Source organism: Homo sapiens, chromosome 2 (assembly GCF_000001405.40).
Source record: "Homo sapiens chromosome 2, GRCh38.p14 Primary Assembly".
Lineage (NCBI taxonomy): Eukaryota > Metazoa > Chordata > Mammalia > Primates > Hominidae > Homo > Homo sapiens.
The window spans coordinates 3,104,237-3,126,349 of record NC_000002.12 but is presented as its reverse complement, the minus strand read 5'-3'; the positions used below and the strand labels follow the sequence as shown (position 1 = coordinate 3,126,349).

At 45.8% G+C, this 22,113-nt stretch overlaps 1 long non-coding RNA gene across 1 annotated transcript in view, besides 3 other annotated features; it reads left to right on the top strand.

Annotated features, from left to right (window-relative positions):
* Positions 1–323: 323 nt before the first annotated feature.
* LINC01250 (long intergenic non-protein coding RNA 1250) overlaps positions 324–22,113 on the top strand; it is a 230,979-nt gene continuing 209,189 nt past the window's right edge. The window contains exons 1-3 of the long non-coding RNA NR_110228.1: positions 324–523; positions 695–788; positions 912–1,055. This is a non-coding gene — a long non-coding RNA (long intergenic non-protein coding RNA 1250). The remainder of the gene's footprint in view (positions 524–694; positions 789–911; positions 1,056–22,113) is intronic.
* Positions 11,446–11,947: an enhancer, noted in NCBI's record as "H3K4me1 hESC enhancer chr2:3118175-3118676 (GRCh37/hg19 assembly coordinates)". NCBI's record gives its function as "activates a minimal SCP1, AML or CMV promoter by ChIP-STARR-seq in primed H9 embryonic stem cells {active_cell/tissue: H9 hESC(primed)}" and the evidence as "EXISTENCE:reporter gene assay evidence [ECO:0000049][PMID:30033119]".
* Positions 16,982–17,655: an enhancer, noted in NCBI's record as "H3K4me1 hESC enhancer chr2:3112467-3113140 (GRCh37/hg19 assembly coordinates)". NCBI's record gives its function as "activates a minimal SCP1, AML or CMV promoter by ChIP-STARR-seq in primed H9 embryonic stem cells {active_cell/tissue: H9 hESC(primed)}" and the evidence as "EXISTENCE:reporter gene assay evidence [ECO:0000049][PMID:30033119]".
* Positions 21,123–21,830: an enhancer, noted in NCBI's record as "NANOG-H3K27ac hESC enhancer chr2:3108292-3108999 (GRCh37/hg19 assembly coordinates)". NCBI's record gives its function as "activates a minimal SCP1, AML or CMV promoter by ChIP-STARR-seq in naive H9 embryonic stem cells {active_cell/tissue: H9 hESC(naive)}" and the evidence as "EXISTENCE:reporter gene assay evidence [ECO:0000049][PMID:30033119]".

Sequence of the window (22,113 nt, the reverse complement as noted above, 5' to 3'; positions counted from 1 at the left end):
CTCTCGGATCTGCACAACCCCCTTGTTGAGAAGAGGCAGCAGGAGCAGTGTGGGCGGTCATTGCCCTATTTTACAGATGAAGAGTCAGGGCATTTAAACAATTTGGTATGGATCTATACATAAGAGGGTGGAAGAGGCCAGAGGAGACCTAGACCTACTTATCTAAAACCCAGTCACTGATGCTGGGACACAGAACTGTCCTTCCTCGTCTGCCCCCTCCCTGCTCACGCTGTATTGGTGGAGACCTTGTCTCTCTTGGTGCCGTGGGAACAGCGCTGGGCCCACCCATCAAGGGCTCCCTGGAAGCGTGCTGAGCGTGTGGCATGAGGAAAGAGTCACCAGCCACCCACGTTGCCTCCACACTGGGTGTCATTGTGACCTTAGCAGACAACAGGGTCCTCCCGAGGAGAGAACACAGTAGGCACACTGGATGTGGGGAGAGGGTCCAAAAGCCCCAAGCAGGGGGCAGGTCTGGGCAGAGGAGAAGGCGCTGTGTCTGTGGTGGCACTGGATGCCTCGGAAGGTGTGTGGCCTCCCTCCATGGCTGCCCAGGACCCAGGGTGCTGACCGTCTCTCCTGGAGTATGGCAGGGCCCAGGGGGCTGAGGCAGGGCCCCTTTTGGCAAATTCTTCACTCATAGAGGTTTCATGTCTTTCTCTGTAAAATGAGGATGCGAACATAGTTTGTCTTTCAGGATAGCTGTGATTAGAACACGTGTGTAAAGCGCCTGTCATGGCAGCGTCCTTCTCCTGGCGGCAAGTCTTCACTTGCAAAACAAGTCCTTTTAGGTACAGCAAAAACTGCTGCACGCAAGGGGGTGGAGGGGAACGATGGAAGGCGGTGTTGAAGGGTGGGGTGGGGAGTGTGCAGAGGCACTGGAAACAAACTTTTCCAATTTCTGTTATGCCTAGGAACAGGCTTTGTGACAGCTGCTGCTATCCAGTCATCTTTAGAGCCCTGGAGTCCTCGCCAAGGGCACGGGCTCCCTTTGTGGTCCTGGAATAATGGGGCCTGCCTGGCACTCTCAGATTGCGTGGGGATCCGCTGGACTTAGGGTAAGGCTTTTGTGGGATAAACTGCAGTGGCGCTAGATCAATTGTCAAGGTTTGGCCGACTCATTTGAGAGACTGGGTTCACGCCGTGCCATTTCTTCTTCCCGTTGCAAGGCTCTGCAAGGAATGTGGTGTCAGAATTTTAGCGCCTCGTATTTCCCACAAATGATAGCAGTAAGCTAACCGCGCGATAGAGACAGCGCTTCATGTTGTGCAATTTGATTTGCTGAGATTCCCAGCTCTTGCGTCTTTGAAACGGCGGCTCTGTGCAGAGATGAGATGGTGTTCCCAGCTCATCGCAGCGTGCGTGGTAATCTTATGTTCAGGCACACACTCTTTTTGGAGAAAACATACATTCTTTAGTATTCATGTGGATTTCACAGCAGTAATGAGGAAACTCTATTCCTTAGAGAATGTTTTTAATGTTAAAAAAAAAAGGATGGCATTCTTGGGAGGCATTTTAGTTTTCCCGTTTTTATTTTCTGACGGTTTTCATAGACTAAAGACTGAGAATGCAGGAATACCTTATCTTATTCCAGAAATTATTTTTACCCAGACCTGTTGATTTTCCCCTTACATTTGTATAGATGTTACACTCTATCATATTTAGCTTAAACATAGACTGAGCTCTCCTGGCTGTGTTACGAGGGCAACTGACTCTAGGAATTGCTGCTTTTCTTGATTTCCCAGAGCTTTGTGTTTCCCCATCCCCGAATCTCCCCACACCCCGTCATATTCAAAACACGTCACTGCTGCAAGATCACGTGTTTTATCTGCTCTCTATTATTATTTAGTAATTCTATTTTGTAGCTGAACCTGGTATTCCATCAGGGTGTGTAGTGCGAGCATGAATGGAGCCGATTTATTGTCCTCCCAATTAACTAATTTTTCTAACCCAACTTAGTTGTTTTCTTTAATACATTCTTCTATAGAACTTAATATGTGCAGGCCTTCTTTTTAGGGCTTTTCATCTATTAACTTATATAATCCTCACAACCACCCAGTAAGAGAGATATTATTATCTTTATTTGACTGGCGAAGAAATGTAAAGCAAAGCCAAGTTAAGGAACTTGCTCAGGGTCACACAGCTGCTCGATGATGGAAACAGGGCTCCCTCTGGACGGCCTGGCTGTGAGACCTGGGCTCTGGGTCTCTGCTCGGCCTCCCGCAGATGTGAGTGCCAAACAGTGTTAAGGTTGATCTTCCTATCTGCAGCTTCCACACCTGCAATTCAATCACCATAGATGGAAAATATTCAGGAAAAAAAAAACAGCACAACAAAAACTAATACAAATAAAACCGATACACTCTAATGACAACTATTGACGTGGGATTTGCGTTGTATTAGCTATTACAGGTAATCTGGAGATGACTTGAAGTATATGAGAGGATGTGTGTAGACTTTATCCAAATACAGCACCGTTTTATATCAGGACTTGAGCATTCTCAGATTTTGGTACCTGCAGGGAGTCCTGAAACCAGTCCCTCGTGGGGATCCAGGGATGACTGTCTAGGCTGACTGCTGGTATATACTGGGCATGTTTCTGGGTCTCTGTTCTAGTCTAGTGATCACTGTGTGTATTTTTGCCCTAGTACTTCACCCATTTACTTATTGCCACTTTATTTCAGCCTGAAGTATCCTATACGCATCCATGTTATTATTTTTAAAAAATTTCCTTGCTTTTTTTTGCTTTTCATTTTTCTAGACAACATTTATAATCAATTTTGCTTACAAAATTCTATTGGAAGTTTGAGTTGCATCAAATTCATAAATTAGTTTGGCAAAAACGTACATCTTCTTAATATTTCTTTTTAGATATGGAATATACTGTATTTCTCCATTTGTTCAAATATTTTCTATGGTGCTCTCTTGGGCTTATGGATTTAATTATTTGAGCCTGACAGACTTCTTGTAAGATTAATTTCCAGGTACTCAGTTTTAAAATTGTGAATAGAATTCTTTTCCCATTGTTTCTCTAACTGTTAATGCTGATATGTAGGAAAACGACTGCTTTTTATGTTCCTATTAAAATTTTTTTAAAAATTAGTATAATTTTACATTATTTTTCTTAGGTAAGCGATGATATCAAATTTGAATAATGTCAAAATTTCACCTTCCTTTTCAAAAATTATATGTGAATGTGTGTGTGTGTGTGTGTGTGTGAGTGTGTGTGTATTATATATATAGGGAGAGAGTTTTCCCTCCTTTTATTTTGTTGTGGATCTGAGGGCATGCTGGCCACAGTAAGCTGCCTTGTCTTTTCCATTGTTTCAGTGAGAATGCTACCAGATTTACTGTTAGGTATTTATTGTTAGGTAGGTATTGGCTACTGGCTTTGAGTAGGTGTTTTTAATCATGTTAAAGAAGCATTTTTCTTTCCTAGTTTATTATAAGTTTTAGCAAATGTCTTTTTAGCATCTATTGACATAAGCATAGTCCTTTTTTCTCTTTATTTCACATATCATTTTTGCATCTGTATTCATAAAAGACATCTGCGTCTAGTTCCCTTTTTAGTCTGTCTTTGCTTGTGTCTCTAGGACATGCTGGCTTTGGGAAATGAATTATTGGGAAACATGCCACCTTTTTGTGTTCTCTGGAAACACTTATCTAGCATGGAAATCATCTGTTCCATGACAGTCTGAAAACCCAGCCTGTGAAAATGTCTGTGGCTGGAAACTTGTGAGAAATAATTCTTCAACAACATTTTCAATTTCATACATGGCTTTTCATTTATCGCTTATTGATTCAATTATGGTGACTCTTTTTTCTTAGACAAGAAAAGAACACACATTGTTTAAATATCAACGTCAAGAATGAAACATACTGATTTTTCTTATATAAATTGAGTTGATTGGCACACTTATTTTCTTTTACTTTTCCTTCTAGCTCCTGTGTATCTTTTTTCTCTCATACTGTCACTGGGCTGTCTTTTACATGAAATGTTTTCATTTTTGAGAATTACATGTGACAGATGAATGAAATTTATAACAATTATTTAGAGTTGTTTGAGTAAACAATTTTGATTCCCTTTGTCAAATTTTTATGTCGTGACTTCCATCTTTGAAGGATTAAAAAAAATCTTTTTGTTGATGGCCTAGAGCACATTTCTGAGGAAAGATGTGGATATCAGTTCTGCAACCTTAGCTGGGTATGGAATTTTGGAGTCAGAAACTTTCTTTTTAACTTTGAAGTAGTCGCTTCACTATTTTCTAATCTTTAAAGTTGTGTAAGAAAAATTGAGTCCAGGCTGTTACTTATTTCTTAAAGGAAAACGATTTTTGCTATTTTATTGTTAACTCTATGTTTAACATGTTGATAAACTGCTAAAATGTTTTTAAAAATGCATACACAATTTTACATTCCCACCAGGAATGCATGATGGTTGAATTTCTCCACATCCTCGTCAATGCTTGTTATTGTCTGCAGTTTTTACTTTAGCCATCTTATTTGGATGTGAAGTGGTGTCTCATTGTGGTTTTGATTTGCGTTTCTTGATGACTAATATGTTGATCATCTTTTCATATACTTATTGGCCCTGTGTATATCTTCTTTGGACAGATGTGTATTGAATTCCTTTGCCCAGTTTTTTGGTTGTCTTTTCACTATTGAGTTAAGAATTTCTTATGTATTCTGGATACTAGATCTTTGTTAGATATGTAATCTGCAAATCTTTTCAACTTTGTTTTTTAGAGTCAGGGCATCACTCTGTCATCCAGGCTGGAGTGAAAGCGGTGTGATTATAGTTTACTGCAACTTTGAACTCCTGGGCTCAAGCAATCCTCCTGCCTCAGCCTCCTGAGTAGCTAGGACCACAGGCACATACTACCATGCCTGGCTAATTCTTTTTAATTTTTAGTAGAGACAAGGTCTCACTATATTGCCCAGGCTGGTTTCAAACTCCTGGGCTCAAGCAATCCTCCTGCTTCGGCCTCTTGAGTAGCTACGACTACAGGTGTGCATCAACACACCTGGTTAATTTTTTTCTCTTGAGAGACAGGGTTTTACTATGTTGCCCAGAATGTTCTCAAACTTTGCCCTCAAACAAGCCTCCTGCCTTGGCCTCCCAAAGTCCTGGGATTATAGGCATGAGCCACCACCAATTTCTTGATAGTGTCTTTGAAGCACAAGAGTTTTTAATAAAGTTCAGTTTATCTATCTTTTTTTCTGTTGTCACTTATACTTTTGGTATCATATCTAGGAAACAATTACCCAATACAAGATCATAAAGATTTACTCCTATGTTTTCTACTAGGAATTTTATAGTTTTAGTTCTTACGTTTATTTCTATGATCCATGTGGAGTTAATTTTTGTACCTGATGTAAGGTAGGAATATGCATTTATTCTTTGCATGTGGATATCCAGGCTTGAAAATACTATTCTTTCTCCATTGGATTGTCTTGGTGCCATTGTTGAATATCAACTGACCATAGGTGTAAGGATTTATTTCTGGATTCTTAATTCTATTCCATCGAACTGTATGTCTACACGTAGGTCAGTACCTCACTGTATTGATTACTATAGCTTTGAATTAAGTTTTGAAATTGGGAAGAGTGAGTCCTCAAACTTTGTTCTTTTTCAAGATTTCAGATAAAAAATACAATATTTACAGAATGCAAAACTGATGTATATGGAGGGCTGACTTTTTGAATAAGCAGATTCTGCCAGGTCAACCGCTGGACTTGAGTATGCACAGATTTTGGCACATGTGGGGTCCTGGAACCAATTCCCTACATATACCAAGGGACAACTGAACTTTTTTTTTTTAAATCTTTTTACTTTCAACCTATTTGTGTCTTTAAATCTAAAGTGTCTCTTGTAGACAGCGTATAGTTTGATCATGTTTTTAAATTCATTCTGTCAATCTTTGCCTTTGAATTCATTTGTTTCATCCATTTACATTTAATGTAGTTATTCATAAGCTAGGATTTACAGCTGCCACTTAGCTATTTTCTGTATCTTATGTCTCTTTTGTTTACCTATTCATCCATTATTGCCTTCTTTTGTGTTAAGTGGATATTTTGTAGTTACCATTTAAATACCCTTGTTTCTTTTACTACATTTTTTTCAAGTTGTCATCTTATTGGTTGATATGGTAATTAAAATTAACATCTTAACTTATAATTATCTAATTAATATTAATACCAATTAATTTCAATACTAAATAAAACCTTTGTTCCTACATAGCCCCGTTCCATCTCCCTTTCATTGTGCTATTATTTCATACAAATTACATGCTTATAAATATAAGCCTGTAAACATAGTTTTATAATTATTACTTTATTCAGTAGTCATTCATACTAGATTAAAGTTACAAACAGAAAAATACTCATTCTTTTAAATTTTTACCAAAGTGGTTATCTTTACTATTTTTTTATTTCTTCATGCGATTTCATTTACTGTCTGGTATCCTTTTACATCAGCCTGAAGGACTTCCTCTACTTAATTCAAGTAAGGAATGTCTGATAGCAATGAATTACCTCCATTTTTCTTTACCTGGTAATATCTTTATTTTTCCTTCGTTTTTCCACATTAAAAAATGTTTGCTGGGTAAACATTTTATTTTGGAATTTTAAACATACCCAAAAAGAATTTTATTACTAAGTCTTAAAAAAATAACATCCACATTTTCTTGAGTTTTGTTGAGTTTGAAACAGATGCTGCCTGAAAATTACTTGTATTTTCTACAGAAATGCTGTGTGCTCATTTCTTCTCTTTCTCTTATATGGCCATAAAGTTTGCAGGTATTTGCGTTAGTTAACTCATTGCAGTAAGCTGTATTACTACACATCCATTTCCAGTGTCCTTTCTGGGAGAGGATTATATCTCCCTGCCCCTAAAGTCAGTCTTGTCCCTGTGAATTGGTCAAGAAAGTTTGAACAGAACTAATAGGTGTCATTTCTGGGTGGACACTGTAAAAGCCGACCTGAGCTTCACCATGCTCTGTTTGTCCCTTGTCATTCATCTGCCCATGCTGTAGATAGTGGCTTGGGTCCCAGAGTGAGGATGAAAGTGACACTGAGTGGAGATCCCAGGTAACCTGCATGGGGAGGAGAAATGGACCTTCATTGTTGCAACTTTTTTTAAACATAATTTTTAATAGAAAATCATTTCCAAATGGTTCAAAAATTAAGAATAAAAATATGCTAAAAAGTATGCAGTCTCCTTCAGTCTTTATCTCCATCTTCTCAGCGCCGTCTTATCCCATGCCTAGGAACCGTGATCATTAATTATTTAATGTATATTTCCAGAGGGTGTTTATGTGTCTATGGCAAATATGCCACCCACATGCTCACACACAGATCTTCACCTATTGTTAATTGACAGATGCACCATCCCACTGTGCTGCATATGGCTTCTTAAATTTAATATACCTTGAAGATCTGTATATATTAATATTTTTATTTATTTTACAGTTATCTAGCATTTCATTTATGGTTGTGTAATCATTTATTCATGAAAGTGTTGGCCAGGTGCAGAGGCTCACGCCTGTAATCCCAGCACTTTGGGAAGCTGAGGCGGGCGGATCGCTTGAGGCCAGGAGTTCGAGACCAGCCTGGCTGACATGGTGAAACCTTGTCTCTACTAAAAATACAAAAATTAGCTGGGCGTGGTGGTGCATGCCTGTAGTCCCAGCTACTCAGGAGGCTGAAGTGGGACAATTGCTTGAACCCATGAGGCAGAGGTTGCAGTGAGCCGAGATCGCGCCACTCCACTCCACCCTGGGCAACAGAGCAAGATACCATCTCAAAAAAAAAAAAAAAAAGGCAAAGAAAGTGTTATTCTTGAAATCTTGAAATTTCACCACAAGAGCATGTTAAGAATAGATGCTCCTCTTTTCATCCTTTCAGGCACTTTGGAGACTCTCTCAATCTCATGTTTCATGCTTTTTTTCCAACTCCTGAAAATTTTATCTCATTACTTAAAGAAATATTTCATCAGCTCCTGTCTTGGTTTTCTCTTTTATGCAACTCTTATTGCAAAATACTCTGGATTGATTCATTGTCTTGAATTTTTCCTCATATGTTATCTTTTTCTTTTTCTTATGTTTTGAATTTTTCCTGAGCTCTGTCTTCTAGAAAATCAATTAAATCTTCAGCAACATAATCTTTTGTTTTTAAGTTTTTCAGATCTTCTGCCTCTGTCTCTGGGTGCTAACCCCCTGGTGGGAGATTCCTGTCTTCCTGCGTGCTTGGTTTTATTTCTGTAGCTCTTTGGCTTGATCCTGGGGGCGGCCCTACTGCTGCGAGTGACTGCAGGTGGGAAGGAGTGGTTTTGGGATTGCAGAGACATTCCTTCAATTAACCAGCCAGATTTCAGCCTCATGGTCCCACAGCTCAACCTGCTTGCTGGAGCCCTGTGCCCTGGCAGGAAGAGGGGCTGCCACCCTCACTGCTCAGCTGTGGTTCCTGCAGCCAGTGATCATCTGCCACAGCCTGCCTGTCCTGTGATCCCGCCTACGTTCCGTCTTCTGGAAAGCCACCTGACTATCTGGTCTGCTTAAGGCTCCCATGCTCGCTGCTTTGCTCTGTGTGGATTAATGTACTTTGGTGAATTCTTATTGTCATGCCATAAAATTTAGAAAGAAAACAAGGAAAATCCATCTGCTAATTCTGCTATTTTGAAAGGAGAACTCAGTGGGGAAGGGTTATTGGCAGAGACAGAGGGAAACAGGCATTTGGACAACAGGGAATTGCCTGGACTTTGATGGGAACAGGGAGCTTGCTCGGACTTCAGGGCTGGTGGCTGCTCACTCATCAGAATGACACCTTCCTCTTGGGGGAGGGAAGTCGTTAGAGGGCCCTGCAGGTTGGGGTGGAGAGGACCCAAACGCAGGTTCTACCCTGGCCTGGATCAGAGCCTGTCACCTCTAATGGCTAACGTTGTCTCTTTAGTACCGTTTACCCAACTCCACATGATGGCTAACATTGTCTCTTTAATATCCTTTACCCAACTCCACATTATGAAGATTCTGCCTAGAGAATAAGTGGTTGTTCTGCTTACCTGGTAACATGTGTACCCAGATCCACACTATCATGGGCCCTCACAGCTTCCCCTGGATATATGGCAGGTAAATTAGTTAATTATTGTTTTCAAATTGGCATGCAATTCAGGCTTTTGATTTATAACTTAATTGTACTGCCTTAGGTAACTTCCAATTTTTAGCTAGATCCATTTGAATAAACTTAGTGTTCTATCTCAGTATGTTCTATCTCAGGAAGATTAAGAAGTAAGCTGGAGAGTTTAGTAGCTTTATAACAATAGCATAAAATGTGGAATAATGAACTGTAAATGTGTCTAATTACATAAATAATGCATTTGTGTAATTGTCAAGGGGGTGTACTAATGAATCAATTATTTTTAATTGTAGGATGCTTGATTGTTTCAGAAATATAATTGATTGTAATCAAGAATCAATTAAATGTTGATAGTAATTATGTTTATCAGGCTTAAATACATGACATCATTACACTATAACTGCTTCAGGAAGAAGAAACTAGAATGAGGTTATTATAAGTGAAGGAGAAATAGTTCATGTTTATATCAACAGCTTTGCAGTCGTAGGACTGCACAGTAATGAGGTAAAAATGAGGAACACACACATTCTTCAGGGCTTATCAACGAAGGCTGATGAGGGCCGGCTCCCCCAGCTGGGAGCCTTCACGCCCCCACCGCAGAGCAGGTTCCACCCGTGGTACGTCGGATCAGGGACCACACTTGCGCTAGAGTTGTGGGCGTGGCCAGGCCTTGCCTATGTTGCTTTCGGGGAAAACTATGTTGCTGGGATCCTATGACTTCTCCGCGTGGCACTTGTCTTGCTATTCTGCCCAAGTTGATGTGAGACCCCTGACTCTGCCCAGTGCACCACGGGTTGTCTAAATGTTACAGAAATGAATGCCACTATGTGAGGGCCTGCTGAAGTCACTGGTCTGCAAGCTTCTCCAGGGCTTGGGGGCTGTGTCTCGTTCATATTTGTACTCCTGCTGCCTGCCACATAGTTGCCCTTACGGAACGTTAAGTGAATAAATAAAAGTGGTTGTGATTCAGTAGCTCCTTAGGATGCTGCTCCTGGGTGGCTACTGTTGCTCTCTGTTTAACAATTGTTGACTTACCCACACTCTCACCCATTCACTCACTCATTCAATATTTATTGAACACTTATAGAAACATTCAATGATATTTATATGTGCCAAGATCTGTTCCAGAAGTTTAGGACTTGTTATTTAACATGGTTAGATGGTCCTTGTCCATGTGGAGCTGATGGTAGGTAAGAGAGGCAGGTACCAGAACCATCAGTGCAATCGGAGGTGACAAGTGCTCCTGGGTGGATGGTGCTGGATGCACACGGCACAGGCACAAAGAGGGACTCGAGTCTGGTCCTGCAGGCAGGACGGAAGAGGGCACAGTTACAGCTCTGGAGATCTGGGAGGGAGCCAGGCCTGAAGGGCTAAGGCCTAGAGGCTCCTGTGTGCCGAGGAGTGAAGAGAACTGGTGTAGCGAAGGCCCCTGTGGGCTGCTCCTTGGAGAGGGTGTCAGGAAGGAGTGTACCCAGTGAGACTGTATGCCACCAGGTCTTCAAGCTGAACACAGCGGGCAGACTTCAGCCCTTATTTTCCTGGGTCCCTGTTTCCTTTTCCCTGAGGGGCCACTAATTCTTTCCTCCCTTCTTCCAGGTCCTCTCCTCTTGGCTCTGTGACACCATCTCCCATTGCTCTGTTTCACTTCTCTCCTCCCACACCCCCTGCTGATACGGTTTGGCTGTGTCCCCATCCAAATCTCATCTTGAATTGTAGCTCCCATAATCCTCATGTGTTATGGAAGGAACCTGGTGGGAGGTAATTGAATCATGGGGGCGGGTCTTTCCCGTGCTGTTCTTGTAACAGTGAATAAGTCTCGTAAGATCTGATGGTTTTATAAAGGGCAGTTCCCCTGCACACACTCTCTTGCCTGCCACCGTATAAGAGGTGCCTTTGCTTCTCCTTTGCCTTCCGCCATGATTGTGAGGCCTCCCCAGCCATGTGGGACTGTGAGCCCATTAAACCTCTTTCCTTTATAAATTACCCAGTCTAGGTATGTCCTTATAGCAGCATGAGAACAGACTACACCTGCCCTGCCCAGTCTCCTTTGCTGGCTCTCCCGCCGCTGGAGTCACCCCAAAAGCGGCAGCAGGAAAGTTCAGCAAGGTTTATTGAAACTTGTGCTCAGAGGGTCCTAGTGTCCTTGCGAGGCACAGTGAGACCAGACGCTCTGCCCAGTTACGCCTGCCGTGAGGGCGTTGGGCTGAGGAGGTTACGGGGGGTTTGAGGACTCTGGTCCGGGGCTGGGGCTAGTTCCTAGGTGTTTCACAACACGGTTGATTTCGCAGTGTTCGGAGCAGCCACCTACACAGCTTTCGCAGTGCCTGGGAATCAAATAGTCCCAGCTTGGGTTCACGCCTGTGGGTAAAACTTGCAGCTGCCAGGGCCACAGAGGGATCAAGGACCCTGTGCTTCCCTGGCAGAAGAAAACTAGGGGTCCTGGGGGCCCTTCCCTCCTCTTCAGCAGTGTCCAGCCTGGCCTCTGTGATTCCCTCTGCATGCACAGCCCACAGCAGTCTTCCTGCTGGCCCCGGAGTCTTCCTCTCAATGACCTGGCCCCTGAGTTCCCGACCCCTGAGCTCCCCCACTCTGCCTGGTGGTTCCTGTCCCACGTTCCAGTTGCTGCCTCAGTGACAGACACGCCTTTGTGCCGTTTTCCGTGTCCCGTCCCTGTGCTTGGAGAGCAGCTGCTGCATCTTTCCGTGACTCTTCTAAGATTTCGCTGTTGTTTGTGTTAGCCTGAGGTTCCTCCAGGAGAGCTACTATCTTTTAAAAAATCAAAGTAAAAATAGAAGCAGTGAACATTTACGCAGCGTCCTAAATCATCCTGTTCTAAATGCTCTGCATATATTAATTAATGGAATCCTCTCATCAAACCCATAAGGAAAGTACCATTATTATCCTGGGTTACAGATGGAGAAACTGAGGCACAGGGACGGTAACAAAAGCCCTGCTAGTGAGTGGCAGATGGAGATGGACGGAGGCAGTCTGGCTTCAGAGTCTGGGCCCCCACTCACAGGGGGGTCAGGATGTTGGGGTCCAATATGAGCATTGTAAGTCATTTTTTTCCACGGGTAAGCCCTGTAGTGTGCCATATTTACACTTCCTTTCTCAGACAGTACTTTCCTTTCCTAGAATCACTCATTTTTATTTATTCATTAGTTGTCTATAAATGCCCCCAAAGTCTCCTGTGACACAAGCACCACAGCTGGTCCTCCAGCTTCTCTTTCTTCACAGTGCACATCTCCCAGGGGCTGTGCCCTCCTCCTGTGGTCGCCACGCAGCTGTCCTGGGCTGGTCTCACCTCCCCCTGGGGGTCTCTTTCCTCTGCTGGCCTTTTCTTGCGTCCCACAACCACTGTTCTCTTGCTTAGTCCCTACTTCTGGTGGCCGCATTTCCAGGGGCTTCATGAATTAGGGTGCACGGGAGGTAAAGGTTTTGAGTTTTTGCTGTTTAAAACTTGAATAAAACTTAGTCTGTAGATATACAACTCTAGATAGGGCTTCATTTTCCTTCTGGAATTTTGAGGGATTGTTTTGTTATCTTCCAATTTCTAACATCACTTTTGAGACATCCATCACATCTGTTCTTTTGTGCAGAACCTTTATTTTTTCTGTATGCTTTTTATGGTAATAATACAAAACATATTAAATGCATACTTATGTGTCAGATACGCTCTAAGTCTTTAAATGTATTAATTTAATATTCAGAGTAACTCTACAAAGTAATAATATGATCATTTCCACTTTTCTGATTAAGAAAACACGCACGCACCTGGGACACAGAGCAGACGTGTAACTAGTCAAGCTCCCCGTGGTCTGAGTGGAGGAGCTGGGGGTTCACACCAGGCAAAACCATGCTGAGGCGCCCATCACCCCATCCTGGCCCCTTCCCAGCTGAAGCTCTGAACCTTCACACGATGGGTTTGGAGGGGCTGTCTCCTCCTGTGGGCCCTGGTGGGTGCTATCCATCTGGAATCAACATCCTTCCCGGGGCGATCATGGCTTCCATCGTTTCTTTGGTAATTTCCTTCTCTCCGTTTTCACTTTTCTCTCTTCCTGGGGCTTCTGCTTTGTGGGTATTGAATCTCCTGGATGGAGACTCTGATTTTCTTATGTTCTCAGTCTCATTTCTTGCTTTTTGTTTTGTTCTGCTTTATAGTCTAAACTTATTATTTTATTTTTAGAGTTTATTTTTCTACTTTGAATTCTCGAGGTTTTTTTTTTCCTTTTTTGGAATGTTCTTTTATTCATAGCATACTGCTCCATGTTCTGTTCTTTAATTTCTGAGCAAATCAACTATCGTTCCTTTTTAAAATGTTCTTATGCTCCCGTTGTTTCTTTCTGAGTTGCTGTTTTGTTTGCGTGTGCTGGGTTTGTCTCTGTGTTGGAGATTTCCCCCATGTGCCTGGTGATAATGGGCAAGTTCGCCCACGTTTGTGAGCGTTAGCACCTACTACAGGCTTTGTGTGCACGGGTGGGGCTTGCTGCGTTGTGAGCTTTGTTCTAGGATACTGGGAAGGGGAGCCAATGGTTGCAGTGTGAAATTCCCAACTGACAGAATCTGCAGGTCTTTTTCCTTGGGCTAGTCAATTTCCTCAGAAAAAAATTCTCCAGACTTCGGCCTGGGTTGTAAACCTTGGCGTTAGCATTCTGGAAGTGGGGTTGTCCAGTCAGCATCTGCCATCTTTTCCCTCTCCTGGCCACTTCTTGCAAAATTTAGTCCTAAAGACATTACATGGCATTGAGCAAGGTGGGTGTCCATGCAGAGTGGGGCTGGAGGGAGTCCAGGAGCTCAGAGGAGGGCAAGGAGGGTGCCCATGGAGGGAGGCGTCAGGGGTGTTCCAGTCCAAGCAGAATTGCCTGCTGTAAATGTCTGTCCTTTGCACAGCAGGAAGCAGACTGAATAGCAGCAGCCCCGTGGATCTCCTAAGGATTCAGTGGTTATTAACTGTCTCCTCTAGTGACTGGCTGGGCACCCTGGAGGTTCAAATCCTCACTGAGAGTCAGTATCCTTATCGGCAAAATGAGCGGGTCCCAGGGCGTGCACTGAATGTCCCCACTGGCTCCTAGGACACATGGTGACGTGAGGAGGGCGGCTGAGTGAGTATGAGTTGGTCTCAGGCCCTCTATGTTCTTTGTAAATAACCGCACAGGTGTCTTCAGCCTCAGCCTCTTGGTGCTGCCTACCACCTTAGTAATTCAAGGAATTGAAGCTGGTTTTTTTTTTTGGTTGGTTGTTTGTTTTTGAGGTGGAATCTCACTCCGTTGCCCAGGTTGGAGTGCAGTGGCATGATCTTGGCTCACTGCAACCTCCACCTCCCAGGTTTAAGTGATTCTCCTGCCTCAGCCTCCCCATTGGCTGGGATTACAGGTGCCTGCCACCACGCCCGGCTAATTTTTTGTGTTTTTAGTAGAGATGGGGTTTCACCATGTTGGCCAGGCTGATCTTGAACTCCTGACCTCAGGTGATCTACCCGCCTCGGCCTCCCAAAGTGTTGGGATTACAGGCCTGAGCCACCACAACCAGTCTGTTTTTTTGTTTGTTCTGTTTTTTTGCTTTTTGTTTTTTTTTTTTTTTAACAGTGGTATATTTCCCCCACCCCCAGAGGGCAAAATCAAGTGCAGTTGAAACCTCTGAGCCATGTCCACTTCCACTCCACCCATCAGGCTGTGGAGGCTGTTTGGCAGCCTCCAGACTCGCTTATCTTCCAGGCCGTCTTTGCACAGACATCTGTCCTGGGCGACCTGGAGCATCACCCTGCGTCATGGCAGCTGGGGCAGGGTCTTGTCTGCTCCCAGGTTTTGCTCCATCACAGGGCCTTGTTCCTTTACTGCCTGGCTCCGCACTGGGCTCTGGATCCTTGAACGCAGGGGCCACATGTGGCTTTCCATGCTGGCAAGAGTTGTAGAAAAGGACTTGTGACATGAATGAATCCCTGAGAATATGTGAGCTCAGCTTCTGCTGAGGTGGCCCAGGGACAGCCGAGGGGCAAGTGCTTGTTAAAATTCCAATTTTTTTTGGCCTTGTGTCCAAACAAGTGAGTCAGAATCTCAGCTGTGCAGAGCTTGCATTTATATATGATTAAAACCAACTAGTATTTGAGAGCATGTGGGTTAGTTAGGAAGAGCTGCTCCCAGATGGCTCACACCTGATTCTTTGAGTTTCTGCTAAGAAATGGGTCCATGTGGCTTTAAGCACCAAGAAGTGCCAATGCAAAGTCCACTGTTGAGTGAGTGAGCGAGAGAACACTTACACAAACAAATGCAAAGACACATACGCACCTGCACACACATGCACACAATATGCACACACATGCACATAACATGACATGCATACACACATGCACACAATATGCACACACATGCACACAACATGGCATGCACACACACATGCACACACATGCACACAATATGTACACACATGCACACAACATGGCATGCACGCACGCACACACAATATGTACACACATGCACACATGACATGCACACACAGGCACACAATATGTACACACATGCACACATGACATGAACACAGGCACACATGCACATAATATGTACACACATGCACACAACATGACATGCACACACATGCACACACATGCACACAATATGTAACACATGAACACAACATGACACACAATATGTAATACATGCACACATGACATGCATACACACATGCACAAACATGCACACATAGGTACACACATGCACACATGAGATACACGCGCACACAATATGTACACACATGCACACAACATGATGTGCATACACACATGCACACACAATATATACACACATGCACACAATATATACAGACATGCACACATGATGTGCATACACACAAATGCAAACACACGCACACAATATGTACACACATGCCCACATGACATGCATGCACACATGCACACAATATGCACACACAGGCACACAACATAACATACACACATGCACACAATATGTACAGACATGCGCACAACATGGCGTGCATACACACAAATGCATACACAAGCACACAATATGTACACACATGTGCACAACGTGACATGCATGCACACATGCACATACAGACACAATATGTACACACATGCAAACACGCATACACAAATGCACACACAGAATATGTACACACGTGCACACAACATGACATCCAATCACACACACCTGATTGGATATGGAGTAAGTTGTGGTCAGAGTAAGGTGAGGTTGGTCAGAAAAAGCTTCCAAATGGAGTAACTTCGTTGGTGTGATTTTTCTGATCTTGAACGCATTGCCTCAGGTAGGTGGAGAGGGCAGACCTCTGAACTGAGCAGGAACCTGCAGGAGCTTTTGCTCTGTCACTCAGGTACTGCTGGTTCCCTTCCCAGCGGCGCTTTTCTTTCCACCTTTTCCCGAACACACAGGCCTGGATGGTTCATGCTGGACGTCATGTTAAAGCCTGGCCTGTATTTTGGATTCTCCTGACCCTACAGTATGCGTTTCTGGCCTTGTTGCTTCTCCTGGTTTTGGTGCGGGGTGCCTGTTCTGAAAGTGCGGTGCCGGGACTGCTCGTGTGTCCTGTGCAGTCAGCCCGGGGTCCACAGCGCCCTCCCATCAGCTCTCGGATATACTCAGGGTTCATGTGGCACTTCTTTTGTCTTCCAGGAAGGTTTTGGGCACAGGAGGTAGAGGTCCATGAAGCAGGTTCTGGTCACGGTCTGAGAGATGTGGCAGGTGAGCCCTGGGGCCCACTGGGGTCTTGCTATGGGGTGAGTGCCTGGAAGAGCCTGGCGCTGCCTGGCCCGGGAGGGCAGGGCTCAGTACCTGGGGGCTCGGGCTGCCTTGAGAGGAAAGTGGGTTTGACTGAGGGTATGTAAGGGTGAGTGTTCAGGCAGGGGAAAGGGCAGCACATGGCCCCACGCTCTGGAGGCTTTGATATGATGTCTGGCTGTGGGATGGAGAGTGTGGGACCATGGGGTTCCTGGGGTACGAGGAGACTGTGTGTCTCTTAGCGTCTGTGTAGCAAGGCTGCACTCTTCTGTCCACCTGGGACCCAAGAATGCCACGAGGTGGGAGGGGACAACCAGTGTATCCAGGGCCTTGAGATGGCCTGGAGCATGGGCAGGGCCTGGCTGGACAGATAGGGGCAGCCCCCGCAGCTGTGCAGGCCTGAGGGGCCGAATTATCCAGCAAATGGAGGGGATGTGTCCTGGCAACACCTCTCAGTGCGAGGATGATGCGCAGGGCCCCGTCAGGATGCCAGGCCTTCATGGGCAGGTGAGGCTGTCGTGGGCAGGTGAGGCCATCGCAGGCAGGTAAGGCCATCCCGGGTAGGTGAGGCCATTGTTGGGTGGTGGACAGTCCTGTGCCAGTGCCTGCCTGGAGAAGGCGAGGGCAGTGGGACTGCGACAGGGTCTCTGAGAGGATGGAGGAGCAGCGTGGAGCCGGGCGCCATGGCCCTAAACGCTGGTGGTGCTGGCTCGGGAGGAATGAGACCTTGGCACCATGCAGCCACATTCCTGTTGGAGCCATGCTAGCGATTTGGAGAAGAATCCATGTGTGTAACTGAATAGCTGAGTTGGAAGCAGATGATTGAGGGTCTTATCAGGAGTCTGGTGAAGCTGCCCTTGCCTTTCCTTCCACACTGAGCAGACCAGATCTTTCTGGGAGTTGATATGTTGAGAATAATACATGTAAACCCATTTTAAACCCATTTTTCAAGAGCAGGAAAAGGCGTAAGTCATACACTGTGAGGCCACCTGAAGAAGACACGTACGTGTAAATAAAATGCAAATAACGAATCCTGAGAGCTCCCCTGCAGGAACTGTGGGACCCCTGCTTCACAGCTGAGCCCCGAGGCTGCTGCAGGGCTGACCCCAGGGGCGGGTGAGGGATGCTGGCGAGTGGGGCTGTGGGGCCCTTTCGGGGTTCCTGCCCTCCGGGCCCCTCCTCGGTCTGGCCAGGGTCTCTGCTGGGACAGGCCTTGTCTGGACAATCATAGAATTCCCGAGACCCTCTGAGGTGGACAGGGCTTGGCAGACCTGGGTCTAGTGGCTGCTGCCCTGAGGCCTCCCGGGTCTCTTTGCAAGTGGAAGTGGAGCGGAGAGGGGTGGCGGGCCTGCTCTCCCTGAGGCTGCGCTGCTCTCTCCAGCCCTCCCTCTCCAGCATTCACTCACCCCCAGGCTTCCCCTTGTCTTGCCTCTGCTGTCTCTGCCTTTCCCCTCGATCTCCCTCTTTCCTTCTTCCCTTCTCTATCCATGGTCTGGTCTTTTCTTTCCCCGTCTTTTTTAAACTGAGGTGTAAATAAGTGAAGAGACTGTCTCTGAGATTCCAGTGCCCTATCTCTAGAGAGAAGACCCTCCTTCTGCCCGTCCTTTCACCCTCCTTCCGCCTGTCCTTTCAGCATCCAGCCACTTGGTGGGGGCGGCTTTTGCAAAGTGGGTCTGTCAGCGCCTCACCCCCGCCCCAGCGTAGCTCTCTAGGTGTGCAGGAGTCAAACACAGCCACGATAGGTAGGCAAATCCTCACGCGAGTTCACAGGAAAGGCCTTCCTTTTCTTGCATTGTGTAAGCTTTCAGCTGCCAAGAGTTGGATGTGCCGACGTTTTTTGATGGTACGCGCACTAGACACAGGCATGACACATCAAGTGGAATTCACAGCCAGGATTTTCCAGAGGGGGCTTATTACTGGTGGGTGCCTGTAAGGAGAGGTGGGATGGCTTCTCCGCAGCAAGACGTTCCGGATGAGTTCTTTAGTTTTCGTGAGGGGATATCGGCCGCCTCCCTCAGTGCCACTGCTAATAAAGGCATAGACTCCTGTTTTCATGAACAGCACAGAAACCTGCACCCCAGATTCTTCTCAGCAAACAGGGGGTACTCAGGGCACCCTAAAGGTGGATGGAAACCATCTCGGGTGGGGGGAGTGCCGAGCTGCCCACGACCTGCACCCCACGTTCTTCTCAGTGAGCAGAGGGTACTCAGGGCACCCTAAAGGCTGATGGAAACCATCTTCGGGTGGGGGGTGCTGAGCTGCCCACGACCTGCACCCCAGATTCTTCTCAGCAAGCAGGGAGTACTCAGGGCACCCTAAAGGTGGATGGAAACCATCTCGGTGGGGGGAGTGCCAAGCTGCCCACGACCTGCATCCCAGATTCTTCTCAGCGAGCAGGGGTACTCAGGGCACCCTAAAGGTGGATAGAAACCATCTCCAGGTGGGGGGTGCCGAGCTGCCCCCCACCTGCGCATCCAGGTCAGCACTTCCTGATGCAGAAGGTAAAGCATCCTTCATGATCTCAAAAACCTTCAGTACCCCGACCCCAAAGCCCCACTTATTGCTGGCCACGTTTTAACATTTGTTGATTGAGAATAAAGCATAAAGGAAACTAAAACCATCGTGCATTTATTTATAGTTTTAAAATGGATTTTTATTTTATAAAATGCAGCAGCCTCTGTGCATACCTGGAAACAGCCCAGTATTGAGTCTATAGCGAATTCTTAGGATCACATGGATTCGTGGGACCCTCGCGATAGCTCCATGGTTTCCCAGGATGTGACTATCCATGAATTCTGTAGGGTGGAATCTGTTGCTCTGGATCTTTGAAATGTCTCCCTAAACTCGGCCTTGTAGGAGGATAGGCCATTACATTCAGTGGCAAAAACTGCAATTACTTTTGCACCAACCTAATATATACATTTTCTCTCTATCTTTCCTTCCGTACAGAAAACTTCCCCTGCTGAATTGCACTCTGTGCGATCCATGGGTCCCAAGGGGCCACAGGAGGTGCCCTGGAACCTGCCTCCAGGGAGGTTCTAGAGGACATTATTTATCACGCGGCTCAGGCGGGGCTCCTGGCTGCCAGCAATAGAAGCCTGTTCTGGCTGAGCTCAGGTGAAAAGGAGCTTCTGCAGGGATATTGGGTGGGCTTTGGTCTCCAGCTCTGACAGAGTCCTCGGTCCTGGACTCACCCTCCCACATTAAACAACCATAAAATTGGACAACATTTATGAGGCAACTGATTTCAGGTGTGAACAACAGGTAGTGCAAGACTCCAAGGAAGAGGAGGAGGTGTGCGCCCCATAGTTCCCTGGCTCTCAGCCCGGTTACAGCTTCCCTGTGGCACCACAAGCGGAAGTCCAAGGGAGCCTGGTGGGGTCCCACCGACCCAAAGATGGTCCCACTGTCCTCGGTCCCACTGAGCCGAGGCCGCAAAGATCGGAATTTGGGGAATGTCAAAGTGCTAACTGCCAGTGCCTGGGAATGTGACCTGACGTGGAACAGGGTCTTTGCAGATGCAATTCAATTGAGGTCGCCTGAATTTAGGGCAGCCCTAAATCAATGACTGGTGTCCTTAGAAGAGAAGGGAGAGGGGGGTTTGGCACAGAGACGCAGGGATGGAGGCAGAGATTGGAGTGGTACATCTACAAGGCAAGGAGAGTCAAGGGTTGCCAAGTTAAAGGAGAGGTGTGTGTGCATAGTCTCTCTCAGAGCCTCTGGGAAGAACCAGCCAGGCCAACCCCTTGGTTTTGGACTTCTGGCCTCCAGGACGGTGAGAGAGAAATATCCATCATTTTAGCTGCCAAGTTTGTGGCACTTTGTTACACTAGCCCTGGGACACGAATGCACTTCATCGCCAGGCGTGGTTTTAGATGTTATCTGCTTGGATTTGGTTCTGCTATCAAGTTACTGTTTTTATTGGCGATTTGAAGAGATTGTAAAAAACTATGTGACCACTGCTGCTACCTTCCCAGCACTGATTCGTTAGTTTCTGCTGTTGTTCACGTTGGATCCTTCTCCTTCAGGCCTTCTGCCCTTCTGTCTACTGTGGGGAAAAGAAAGAGAGATCAGATTGTTACTGTGTCTCTGTAGAAAGAAGTAGACATAGGAGACTCCATTTTGTTCTGTACTAAGAGAAATTCTTCTGCCTTGAAATGCTGTTAATCTGTAACCCCACCCCCAACCCCCTGCTCCCTGAAACATGTGCTGTGTCCACTCAGGGTTAAATGGATTAAGGGCGGTGCAAGATGTGCTTTGTTAAACAGATGCTTGAAGGCAGCAGGCTCGTTAAGAGTCATCACCACTCCCTAATCTCAAGTACCCAGGGACACAAACACTGCGGAAGGCCGCAGGGTCCTCTGCCTAGGAAAGCCAGGTATTGTCCAAGGTTTCTCCCCATGTGATAGCCTGAGATATGGCCTCAGCCCGACACTCGTAAAGGGTCTGTGCTGAGGAGGATTAGTAAAAGAGGAAGGGACGCCTCTTTGCAGTTGAGACAAGAGGAAGGCATCTGTCTCCTGCTCGTCCCTGGGCAATGGAATGTCTCCGTGTAAAACCCGATTGTATATTCCATCTACTGAGATAGGGGAAAACCGCCTTAGGGCTGGAGATGTGACAGGCGGGCAGCAATACTGCTCTTTAAGGCATTGAGATGTTTATGTGTATGCATATCTAAAGCACAGCACTTAATTCTTTACCTTGTTCATGATGCAGAGACCTTTGTTCACGTGTTCACCTGCTGACCTTCTCTCCACTATTATCCTATGATCCTGCCACATCCCCCTCTCCGAGAAACACCCAATAATGATCAATAGATACTAAGGGAACTCAGAGGCCAGCGTGGATCGTGGATCCTCCGTATGCTGAACACCGGTCCCCTGGGTCCCCTTTTTCTTTCTCTGTACTTTGTCTCTGTGTCTCTTTCTTTTCCAAGTCTCTCGTTCCACCTAACGAGAAACACCCACAGGTGTGGAGGGGCAACCCACCCCTTCTGCCTACCCTGGACTGCTGTCTCTCAGCCCGCTCCGTGGCTGTCACCCTGGGAATGAGTCTGCCACGGTCCCGGGAATCCTCTCCCTGCTCTGGGACCCTGGGTTTTCTGCGTCCTGTACTCTCTGTCTTTTGTTCATTCATTTGTTTTTTGTTTATGCTCTTTTTTGAGTCCAGTCTAAAACACTGTGTTTTTAGTCCTTGCACACCTGGAAATGGCTTTATTCTACGCAACGTGATCATT